We start from the raw sequence: 12,024 nt of genomic DNA on the forward strand, positions 1-12,024 counted from the left end.
TAACCATTGGGGCCCCATTCCTCTCCGAGGGCAGAAGCCCTGGCGAGGGCTCCAGGGTCTGCATCCCCTGACCAGGGGCCTCAAGAAGCTAAGCCCCCTTGCAACTCCCTCTCCCGCCCCACGCCCACCCTCTCCGCCTACGTCGGCCATCAGAGCCTCGCTCGCTGCCCGAGAGCCTCGCATTGACGCCGGCCCGCGCGTGAGTCAAGCCTGCGTCACGGCGCCCCGCCGCCAGGGTGGCCTTTCGGAAAGCGAGGGAACAGTGCGCGCAGCGCTCCGCCCAGCTCCGTTCTGCTCCGCAGAGCCGGCGCTGCCAGGGCGCAGGGAGGGCGGCACTCGGCCCCAGTCTTCGCAATCCCGCGCGCTCTCTCCGCCGTGGGACCTGGGTCCCCGCGCCGCTCCCCTGAGCCCCGAGCGCGCGGCGGGCGGGAGCCAGGTTGGGACTGGTGGTGAGGCAGGGAGTGAGGAGCGAGCGGAGTCGCGTGCGCCGGCGCGCAGCTCCGGGTCGCCCCAGCCCCAGCCGGGGGCCTGTGGCCCGGGGGAGGAGCTGTGCGTCCGCGACCCGTCGGGGATCGCAGCTGCTCGGCCGGAGTGCACGGGCCGAGTCTGCGCGACTACCCACGCGTGACAGGTGAGTCGCTGGCCGCGCCCCGCCTGGCTTTACCGGGCCGGCCACTGCAACTTTCCCTGTTCTGGCCCCGCCCCAGCCAGGGAGGGCTGAGGACCAAGGTGTGAGGCGGCGCTGCCCCCGCATCCGCCCGACCCTGCGCTCGTCCCGGGCTCCTCTCGCCGCTCCAGCCGCCGTTGCCTGGCGACGGAGCCCCGGGGCCCGCTCTCCTTCGCGCATCGGGGTCCCCAGCGGCGTACGCACGGGTTGGACACCGGGCTTCAGCTTCTGGTGCTCAGAAGGGCCCAAGAACTCCGGAGGAAATTGGGCTTAGCTGCGGAGGCAAGCGCCCGCGGAGAACCGGAGGGGGCCTGTCCGGCCCATCCGCGGCTTGAAACTGCGCGCCCAGGGCGCAGTTCCACTGGGAGCCTCTTACGCAGCTGGAGACCCCAGCCCCAGCCGCTCGGCCTCAGGCCTGTGACCTTGACAGTAACATTGGCAAGCGAAGCAGAACTGTCACGCCCGAGATGAATATTTAATTCTCAGTCCTGGGGCTGGTCCTCGCTGGATTCGGAGCTAGCAGAGAGCCCTTCCTCCCTCGTGGGAAGCGCATCTGGGGAACGGAATGGCTGAGACAGGGGACGTGCGTGTGGTGCCCATCTGGAGGGGGCGCCGTCCTGGCGGGTCGAGAGGCCTCTGCTGCATTTATGCCTGTGTGCGCCGTGCTCTGAAGCGATGCTGGATGCTCGCAGTACTATGGGTGGGCCGCTCCCCAGGGGCGCGGCTGCCTTGGAAAGAAGCGTGATGTTTCCTTTTAAAGCCCAGACAGCCCTGTCAGAAATCAAATTCAGAAATCCCAAGGCCATTCACCTTACAGGACCTAGGCCCTGTCAAGTTGGCTTTAGAAAATATTTTTTGATGCCATTCCTCTTTCCTTTTTTTTTTTAAGAAATACTTTAACAGGCCTTTTGGATTACGAGATTTCTAACCAGAGCTACCTTTGGGCAATTCAGCTGTGAACTTGAGGCAGATGGGGGTGGGTTGGGGAGACAGGGAAGTGGTAATGAGGAGGAAGATTCTTTTCCGGGCATTGTCCTTGTTAACAGGAACTTCAGGAACAAAGACAATCCTGTAATGGCTCCAAAAAAATTCGGCCAAAACTTTAGTTAGCGCCTAACTGTTAAGGCCTTGCTGGACACGCTCACTGATGTCTGGAGAACAAGGTCAGAGTGTGTTGAGGTTAACAGTGGGGAGTTCTTGTGTCTCGTTCTGTGCTTACATTATCCCATGGCTCTGTGAGGCGGACCCATCACCTGGGCAGGAAGAGCTTTGAGGTCACACCTGATTGTCCTTGGCCATGGCTCATCCACGAGGACCGTCAGAGGCTTTAGCTCCACTGCCGGATTTTTCTCCAATGGAACATCTGTGGCTAAGTAGGTGGTTGAGTTTCAGCGAATCCCTGAAGCTCAGCCTGGAGGGTGACTCAGTGCAGGAGGCAAATGGTGCCCACCAGCTCTGATTGGAGTGAGTTTGTTTGGCCTGAGTCACACACAGAGTCGTGTGTCAGCTGTTTGTGAGTTGATTGGAGTTCTTTAGCAGGACTCGTGAGCAGGAATGGCCTGAGCCCAAGTGTTTTGGGCAGAGGTGGGCAAGTCCTCTGAAGGAGCTAAGCAGAGCTCTGGCTGTTGAGCAAGGGTCCTGGAGCTCTGACTCCTTGGGAAGGTGAGCAGGGCCAGGCTGGGCTGGGCAGGGAGATGGGGAGAGGTGAAGGGGAGGGTAAGGAAAGGCTCTGTGATTGTGGTCAGAACTGGGCCCAGTGTTCTGCCATGTGCCAGTGGGGTGACCTTGGGCAAGTCAATTCACCTCGGGAGTCTCAGAGTTTCCTCAGTTGTAAAACAGGGATGCCTATGATATTATTTCTGCAGGCTTATTTTGAGCCAGGTGCTAGACACAGCAGGTGCTCATTAGATGTTAGTTCCCCATCCCTTCCCTTATGGGCCTTAACCAGAGGCAATTCTTTCTCTCATTGCTTCTGCTCCATCATGAAAGGGGTTGTGGGGACACATGAAGGTTCGGTGCTTCCCATGTGATTAAGAAGGACCTGTAACTCAGCTTCACATAGACCTGTTTCCAACCCTCAAGTCTCCCCATGAGACCCTAAATTGGGAAGCCTGCTTAAGAGCAGGATTAGTGTTGGGGTAGGGGTGGGGTTCAGCTGTGCTGGGTCTGCTGGCTGCCCTTGGCCACCTGCAACAGCTCTGGGGTGACTCCAGCACCACAGACCTTGACTCCTTGGGGTTGTTTCTGACTGTAGCCTGGTCCCAAGCTGCAGCACGTGCTGGGTGGACTTCAGGGGTCACTTCTCTTTGTTCAGGTCTTACCATCCTCCTCCCCACCCATTCTATCCATAATAGAATTGAAAGTTACAAGAGAACTGTTCAGGAGAGCTGAGACTGGCCTCTCCTGGAAAGGAAAGTGAGGTGTGTGATTCCTGTTTTCCTGAAGGACCCTGGGCCCCTAGTTTTCTCCGTCTATAAAATGTCCAGATTTGGTGCTGAGCTAAGATGTGTGTGCCTTAAGAGTGAAGGAAATAAGGGGATCCCCAGTGCAGCAAGAAAGAAGCCATGCTGGCTCAGGGGACTCCAATCTGCTACTGGAAATGTGTGTGTGTGTGTGTGTGTGTGTGTGTGTGCATTGCATTCACCATTCATTCTGTAGCCAATGCCCTCCCCATTGGATCCAGGAGCAAATTCCAAGGATGGCAGAAACAGAGATGAGAAGATTCCAGAGAAACAGGTTCCTTCTGCCTGTGTACCCTCCCTTCCTTTATACTCCTTTTCTGTCCAGGTTTGCTGCAGCAGGACAATTCATCATTAATCCCTTTAAAGCTGCTAAGATAAGCAGCAGAATAGTTTAAGGGGAAGATGGATTTAAGCTTTTTTGCTAGAACTAGCTCTGAGTTATCACTTGCTCCCAGGCTGAGCTACAAGAAGTCCTCACAGCCAAACATCTGGAGCACCAGGATGGGGGAAAAAAAACCTGTCACCTCAGCCCCTGTGTTTCCCTCCCCTGAATGATGTTGCTGGCTGCCAGAGGTCAGAAGCACAGAGCCATAGGTAGATGTGATTGCTAGAGCAGTATCCCAAACTCAAGTGGGGCAGTGATATGTAAGGAAATGCCTACTTTGCATGCTTTTAGGAGGGGTGAGTGCTGTTCTGGATTCCAGTGGCTCACACTGTGCTTGGCACAAATTGATAATATCCAGTTGCTTATTGAGGCTTCTGTGCTGTGCTAAGTGCTTTATTCCCAGACCATCTCATTTAATCTTCACCACAATCCCAGGAGACAGATATTGCTATCTCCAGTTTACAGATTGTAAAATTTAAGGTTCAGAGAGGTTAAATAATTTGTTCAAGGTCACACAGGTGAGTGGCAACTAGAGAATTGGAACTCTATCAGTCCAAACTTCATGTTCCTAACCTCTATGTGATACTTTTCCGCAATACATTCTTAATAAATGCTGACAACCTAGGCATTTACCCAAACAAGATTGTCTAGAGCTGTGGGTCCAGTTTTTTTAAGTTAGTGCCCCGGGAAAAGGGGAAATCGGCCTGTACTAATTGGAAATTGGTGGAAAACAAACATAACCAAACGTCCAAGGTTTGGGGAACATGGTATTTGGCTCCAGGTGGGTTGAAATACAGAAAAAGATCCCAGGCTTCATCTTGGTGCTTTCTTGTCCTTTCCCTGCCCTTCTCTTCCTGACCTCTACTGCCCTTGACCTCATTCCCTTAAAATCTGTCTAAGCTAGGGGTTCGTGTGTAGAGCAGTGAGAGGAGTCAGAGCCGGTGGATGTTGCCCTGAGAATTTCTGCATATGCAGAATCAAGGACGGCCACTTGCTGATGGGAGCTTGGTGGGTCAGATTTCTCTGCTGAAGAGTGTATGCCAGGGATTTGTAGCAGTTTCTGGTGAGGCCCCAGACCCCAGAGAAAACTACTAACACTTCAAGGTTATTTACAGCAGCTGCTGGCAGGGCTGCTTGGGGAGATTCCACTTGCTTCTTCCTGGTCTTTTCCCACAGAGAGCCCACTTTCTCCTCACTCCAAAACTCTGCCACACGTGTCCGTGGCCGTTCTGGGAAACATGGCACCTGATTCCTCCAGCTTCTCTGTCTCTTCTCTTTCTCTGAAAAATCGCCATCCCCAGAACAGGCCCATGCTGTCCTAGCCTGCCCATCATCTCCAAACCACCTGAGATCTCAGTGGGGAAGTTCCTGAAGGTGGATAACTGAATGTAAGTATTAATGCTCCTCACTGGCAGTGGACGAAAAGGACTTCCCAGAAACCCTTGCTTCATAGGCAGCCATTTTGTGGAGATAAGTCCTTTGATAATTCTCTTTCTCTTCCTTCTCCTCCTCCCATGAGTGATTCTTAAAACATTGCTCATTTATGGGCAAATCCAGTTTTTTTTAAAAAATACATAGTTAGACGTTCAATATGTACAGAAAATTCACATGTAAGAACATAAGCTCAGATGCAATATGAATTACTGTATACACTTACTCTCATGTTCAGAACCAGGTATGTTTTGTTAGAGAATAATTCTGGGTCAGGTGAGTTCTAGGCTGCCTGAGTCCCTAACTAGGGAGTTGAGGCACAAAGCCCTGTCCAGTCTATGTCCTCTTGTGGAGTGGGAGTGAGGCACATATAGAGCAGAGGAGTGAGTACCCCAGCTCACAGGCCCTGGGGTCACCTCATTAGCTGCAGTTGTCCCACTGAGCTGCCACTCTGCCTTCCCGAGCCTACCTAGCAGTTTATTTGAAGATAACAAGTTGCCTGTCACTGTACGCCATCATTTCTAATTAGTGGTTCAATTAGAATTTCTGCTGGATTCTGCATCCCACCAATTTACCACCTTCTATTTTGCTTGCAAGTGGAATTCACTGGTCCACACCCCAAAATTCTGCCAGTTACATTTTTCTTTAATTATAAGACTCCTGGGTTCCTGAGGCTTTAAATCCCACACCAGCTCTAAATGGAGCAGAAGCAATGTTTGCTAAAACTACCTTGCAAGAGGAATGAATAGTCACTCGATAGGGTGGTTCCAGAATGTACTGCCAAGTGAGTATTCATTGAGGACATGGGTCTCCCTTCCTTTGCCCAGGTCTAAAGGAAGGAGAGCAGATGTTCTGTACTGCGCAACCTGGGGCTGGCTCGCAGAATAGCCCGGTGGGCGCTGTCCATGGTCCTGCCACACCACTGGGGCCATCTGCCTGCTAGTAATTTGGGACTCCACATAACAGCTGAAAGGAATCTCCTTGACCAGTTCCCCAAATTGCTTTATATTGTGAGTTTTGGAAGAGAACTTGGTCAAGTGAGGAAGATCCTGCTCTCTGGGAGAAATGGTGGTAGATGAGCTCAGTCCACTGTTGACTTCCTGAATGTATCATTTTGCAAGGCTGCATGGTGCACTGCAGAACTTCCCAACCAGTGCCACAGATGGGTAGCATGTGGCCCAGAAATAATGATGCCCTCATCCCTTGGAGTAGCCTGGGATGGCCTAGCATGGTGGCGCCTCCTCCGTGTACCCCAGTGTGCCATGATAGTGTTATTTTCTGTGTCATGACATGCAAAAGATTGGAACATACCAGTATGTCAAAAAGAATATAGCTACAGTTTGGTAGATGACAGTCTGAATCCCCGCTCTTCCATTTTATGGCTGGGTAATCTTGTACATGATAGAGGCTTCTTTGTCTTGAAGATAAGAATTGTATTTTATCGTAAGTTGTTGGGAGGATAAATAACACATGTAAGCACAGTGGGTCACCTGTGGCTTGTCCCAATAGGATGCTTTTCTGCCCAGCCCTCTACAAAGCTGCACTGGAGGCTGATGAGAAAAGAGACACAAACCCTTCTCATTTTCAGGAAAGAGACATCATGTTGGGACTGTAATTAAGGGTTTCTGATCACTATTCCTTCAAGAGCTCTTCAGCAGTCCGTTTGGTAACTCAGGTAATTGAACACCCTTGGTTCCCTCTGTCTCTTTCTAAGACAACAGAAAATAGTGGTTTTAAGAAAATCCAGGTCAGATTATTTTGGCAGATGCTGTGAGGACTCATCTGTCCCCATGGTGGTCCCCCCATGAATGAGGAAAGAAGGGAATGAGGCTTTCACTAGTTATTCCTGGACTTTTATTTGCACATCTGGTTTGTAAAATTTTTCTTTTTCCAAATTGGTATACTCTCACAGGTCCTTTATCTGTCTGAGACCTGGTGTGCCCTTCAGCACCTCACGTCCTCATTTCCCTTTCTCTTCAAATCTCAAGTCTCATCCAACAGCCTGATCCATATCACCATCATCGCTTACCTACCCTCCCTGTTTCTTCACTTGTCCTACCAGCAGCCATTGATCCCTATAAAAACAGTCAGGTCAGGCCAGGTGTGGTGGCTGACACCTGTAATCCCAGCATTTTGGGAGGCCGAGGGAGGTAAATCACGAGGTCAGGAGATCCAGACCATCCTTGCCAACATGGTGAAACCCTGTCTCTACTAAAAATACAAAAATTAGCCGGGTGTGCTGGCATGCGCCTGTAATCCCAGCTACTCAGGAGGCTGAGGCAGGAGAATCTCTTGAACCCGGGAGGTGGAGGTTGCAGTGAGCCGAGATTGCGCCACTGCACTCCAGCCTGGGCGACAAAGCAAGACTCCATCTCAAAAAAATAAATAAATAAAAATAAAATAAAATAAAAATAAAAATAGTCAGGTCACATTACTCCTCTGCTTGAAAACCTCCAACAGCTTCCCATTAGCCTTGAAAGAAAACCCCAACTCCTTTCCATGCTCCTTGAGTCCTGCCTGTTCTGGACACTCACTGTCTTCCTAGCCCAGCACCTCCCACTCTTCCATTGTTCAGGGTGCTCTAGGCACATGGCCGTCTGTCTGTTCCTTGTACTCACCAGGCATGCAGGTCCTGCCTCAGGACATTTGCACTTTCTGTTCCCTCTGCTCTGAATGCTTTCCCAGGACATCCACATGGCCCACTCTCTCACTCCGTTGAAGTCTTTATGTCACCTTATCGGAGCATACGTCCTTACCCCCATCTCTGTTGTAGCATCCCTGCTGTGCTCCATCCCCTCATACTCTATATTGTATGTGTTTATTTGATATATATACTATCAGATATAGTGTATGTTTATATGTACACTATAAATTATATATTTGTCTGATTTCTATTTGTCCCTCTGCACTAGAAATAAATCCAATGGAGCAGGGACATTATTTGCTCTGTTCTCTGTTGTACTAGAACAGGGCCTAGAACATAATGTTCAGCAAATATTTGTTGAAAGAAGTAAAGGAAAAGAAGGAGGGAAAGAGATTTAAAAATATTTTAAATGCCATATTTTAAAATCCCATATTTCAGCAGTACCTCTAGTTCATAGAAGTCGCTGGGCTCTATTCTCCTTCCAGGCCAAAAGGGGAGTAGAAGTCGGAGAACTGAGCCCCAGTATCCCCTGTCAGCCCACTGTGTCCTTGGGCTTGCACGTGCATGTCCCACCCAGCTCCAGGGCGTTGTGGGATGTGGGTGAGTATGCCTTGATTCCTGGCTAAGCCCATTTCCCACATGTTCTCACATGAAGGTGGTAGCTGGCACTGGTTGATGGCATGCCCCTGAGGGCCTGGCCTGAGTTGAGCATAACTCTTTTGTTACCTCATTTTATACTCATGACAACCCTACGAGGTGTAGCATCCTTCATCCCTATCTTTTCAGGTCTAGAAGGTAAAACCAAGAGGGGTTATGTACTTTCCCAAAGACCAACATCTCATAAATGGCAGAGCAGGACTTTAGGTTTTCCTGGCTCTAAAACCCATGATAGCATTGAGGTTGAGAGTCAGGCTCCAGGGTCAGTCTGTCAGTGCAGATCCAGGGGCTTTGGATGACTTGCCTTATTTCATCAATTCCAAAATGTGTATTTTTGCACATTGCCACATCTTAAAATCAGGACATGACATGCAATCAATAGCTGTTTCAAAATGGCTGTGGGTCTATGGCAGCTCACCCTAGTTGGGTGGGAAACTTTGATGAACCCTTTCTGGTAAGTTCAAGAAAGTGCCAGCATCAAAGGATCCTAGATTCAATGAAATATAGGTAATTATCCCTCTCAGCTTCCATGTCTTCATTTGTAAAATGGGAGTAACAGTGGTATCTACCTGATATAATTACTGGCGGGATTAAAGGAGCTAATATCTGTTTGGTGCTCAGCATGGTGGTTGCCACAGAGATGGGACTCAAGAATTATGGCCTATGTGCTGTGTTGTCATTGTTATTATTACTACACCCCACTCTGCCTTCAGAAGTTCCCCCAGTGGATCCCTCAGCACCTGAATTCTAGTAAAGAGAGAATGCATGGGTTGGGGGGGTGCTTTCTGGGGCTGCCCTTGTTTACATGCACACAGAGCATGCGTTCTCCCACGTGAGATGGTAAAATGGAACCACAAGATCTGTTTGCACTGGCCACACCCACATTTTTCAGTGCCAGTTCCTCCCCCTCTGGACCATCTGCCCCCTTTCCTGCTTCCCTTCCTTCTTGACAAAGAAAACAAGATATTGACTCAAGAGAACAGACTCAGCAAATGCAACAGGAAAGTAAGAAAGGGCTGCAGAAGTTGCCACTGGCTCCTCAGCTGGATTTCTTGTTTGGAATGGTCCCACAAGTCCCAAGCCATGCTGTGTGTCAGGACTGTGCCCACCCAAAGATGATTTCCCTGAGGTGAGGATGGATTCTGTCTACAAAGTAGGGAAGGTACAGCACAAATACTGGCTCTTTTGAAAGTGGCCAAAAGTCACAAAGGGATGGCCAGGCTTCTTAGTGTATCCTGGCTTTCAAACTGTCACTTGGGGCATCCTTGGGGCATGATATGGTCTTGGCATCAGAATATTGCATCAGAAAATGGAAAAAACTAGAAGTTGGAAAAACACATCGGACTCCAGGAACTTTGGGGTGTTCAAAAATGGATCAATTCATTTATGCACTCATTCAATTCCATCATATCATATTTATCATGCTCATATTATGATAAGATACCAGGATTTGGCCTTGCAGAAGCAAAGATGGTGTCAATTGAGGTATGAAATGGAAGACCAAAACACAAACCCGACAAATCTGTGAAATGGAATAAAAAGAAATCACCACTCTGTTCATTTGATTTTTCAATAAGCTTTTCTTTCTCTTTCTCCTTCCATCCATGTGGTAACCAGATGCAGCTGGTAGGTAAGCAGGCAAGCACTGCTCCTCATTTTACAGATGAATAAGAAACAAACTGGCTTCCAAGTCTTGGGGCTCTCCCCATGTGTGCTGCAGGGCTGCACTGGATTAGAGTCCCCCTGGCTGGGACATGCAGACTTCCGGTAGGTTCAAATGTCTCTCTAGTCACTGCTGTTAGTGTTTTACCCCGCCTCTTTGTTTCAAATGTGAGGCAGTAGTAAGATTTCAACATGGCAAGCAGGTTGTTCTCAGAGGGTTGGAAGGCAGGGACCCTAGAACACCTGTAAATACCATGTTCTGCCCACAGAAATGTGTAGGATAATCTGTGTGTGCGAAGCACTGGTTGGGTAGGAAGCAGTGAAGGGTGGGCACAAAGCTGAATGCACCTTCGCTCCTGCCTCAAGGAGATTGCTGTTCAGAAAAGGGATCAGGCGTAACGACAACTAGTTGTACCAGACAGCCAAATAGTAAAATAGTGTAAAAGGGTGTTACAAGGAGTGTGCTGAGAAGGGCAGAGCGTTAATGCTCACTCACAGACTCGCAGGAGTTGTCATAGAGGCGAGGCAGGGGACCTAGAAGGCTTCAGCTGTCAGGGGATGGGAAGTGGTTAGTCTAGAGTGAGTGGTGAGTGGGCTGGGAGGAAGTGGAAGCCGAGGCCCGGGAGATAGAGGGGGCCCAAATGCCTGGGAAAGGGCCTTGGGCTCCCTTCAGTAGGCAGTGGGAGTGGGGTGGCGTGGCATTTCTAGAAGATGCCACTGAAGGCAATGTGTAGGATGCCAGCGGGGAAAGTGAGCTGGGAGCCTGCTGTAGGCATCTAGCCAGAGAGCAGGCTTGAACTAGAGCAGAGGGGTGGGAAGAGGACAGAGCTGAGCACGCCTACAGGACTTGCAACACCTGGTGGGGGTGGAGGCAAGAGAGGTCAAGAAGGGTGTGGGGTCCCTGCCTGTGTCCTGGGCCAGCAGCATCCAGGGGCAGCAGCCTCCAAGTCAAGGCCAGGCCCTGTCAGGAGCAGTTTGCCCCAGGTGACTGTCAGAGGTTTTAATAAAACAATTAAAAATAATTTGTGTCTCTGATAATAGTCCGGCCTGTTTTGGGCTCAGTAAAAGCTCAGGGGCTCTGAGGTAATTAGGAGAACAGTTTGGGCCACAGCTGCCTGTCATGAAGAAATCAGGAAGCTGCCAAGCATCCTCTGACTTGGTTTCTACTCACCACCAATTATACCTGAGTTAGATGTTGGCTTTGAGGTCCTGAGTGGGGACCACTTCCACTGATTTCCTCTTCTTGGGGGCTCTTCAGGGTGCCTGTTGGAACACCCTGAAGAGGTGCTTTTTAAGGATGTGCTTGGCCACAGCCACTCTTTCCAGAGCCACAAGACCCAAGGGTAGCAGGATCAGGAGCACGGGGAGGGGCGGGGCAGGGTAGGCACTGTGGTGTCTGTGGTCGTTGTAATTAGGTGACTGCCTGCTTCCCCAAAGATGGTGGCTCCCCCACTCACCTCCCCTGGGGAGTCTAACTTGGAAAATAAATGATTCTCTTTGTCCCTTGAGTTACCTGAACCTTCCCCAGCAAGAAACACCCCAGGCCCAGGAGGTGGGTGCTCAGGGAGCTGCCTTCATCATTACAAAAGTGCCCCTCTTCCCTTCTCCTCCTCCCCGGCTGCTGTGGGGTGGAGGGGCTCCAGGCTTTGTCCTGGTGCCAGGGTGAGAGCAGCCATCCCCCACCACCTTGAGCTTATTGCCGGATGCTGTGCTTGAAAAATTTTCGTGGAGCCCTCACCCCTCTGGCAGGAGATATTTTTACCTGTCTGCCTCCCAGTCACACTATTTTTTCTCCTTTCAAGAAGATTCGCAGTTCACTTGCTCCGACCTCCTTCTCTCACAGGAGCTATTCTGAGCTGCAAGCCACCTCTGTTGCTAAGTGACAAGCTGGCACCAAGGGCCTTCTCGGCACTCGTGCCCCTCTGCGCTGTGCTTTCAGGGATGGAGGCACTCCTTTCAGAGAGTACCTTGCAGCTTCATCATCCGACGTGTTGCTCGTGAAAGCCACTTCACAACCCACCCCAGCTACTAAGGGGGGGATAATTAGAATACGGCTGGGCTGGCTGTCACCACATCTCTACCATGCTCCAGTGGGCTCTCAGCTGATGGAGGGTGG

General features: G+C 50.5%; 1 protein-coding gene across 1 annotated transcript in view, besides 2 other annotated features; it reads left to right on the top strand.

Moving 5' to 3' along the window:
• Positions 237 to 286: a silencer, noted in NCBI's record as "silent region_1168". NCBI's record gives its function as "represses an Ori minimal core promoter by ATAC-STARR-seq in GM12878 lymphoblastoid cells {active_cell/tissue: GM12878}" and the evidence as "EXISTENCE:reporter gene assay evidence [ECO:0000049][PMID:35858748]".
• The window catches only part of SLC6A17 (solute carrier family 6 member 17), a 51,709-nt gene continuing 39,926 nt past the window's right edge, over positions 242 to 12,024 (top strand). The window contains exon 1 of the mRNA NM_001010898.4: positions 242 to 631. The gene's annotated coding sequence lies outside the window, so the exon portion shown is untranslated. The remainder of the gene's footprint in view (positions 632 to 12,024) is intronic.
• Positions 1,915 to 2,209: an enhancer, noted in NCBI's record as "tiled region #9728; HepG2 Activating non-DNase unmatched - State 22:ReprW". NCBI's record gives its function as "activates a minimal TATA promoter and a strong SV40 promoter by Sharpr-MPRA in HepG2 cells {active_cell/tissue: HepG2}" and the evidence as "EXISTENCE:reporter gene assay evidence [ECO:0000049][PMID:27701403]".

The sequence above is a fragment of the Homo sapiens genome, chromosome 1, assembly GCF_000001405.40.
Source record: "Homo sapiens chromosome 1, GRCh38.p14 Primary Assembly".
NCBI classification, from domain to species: Eukaryota; Metazoa; Chordata; class Mammalia; order Primates; family Hominidae; genus Homo; species Homo sapiens.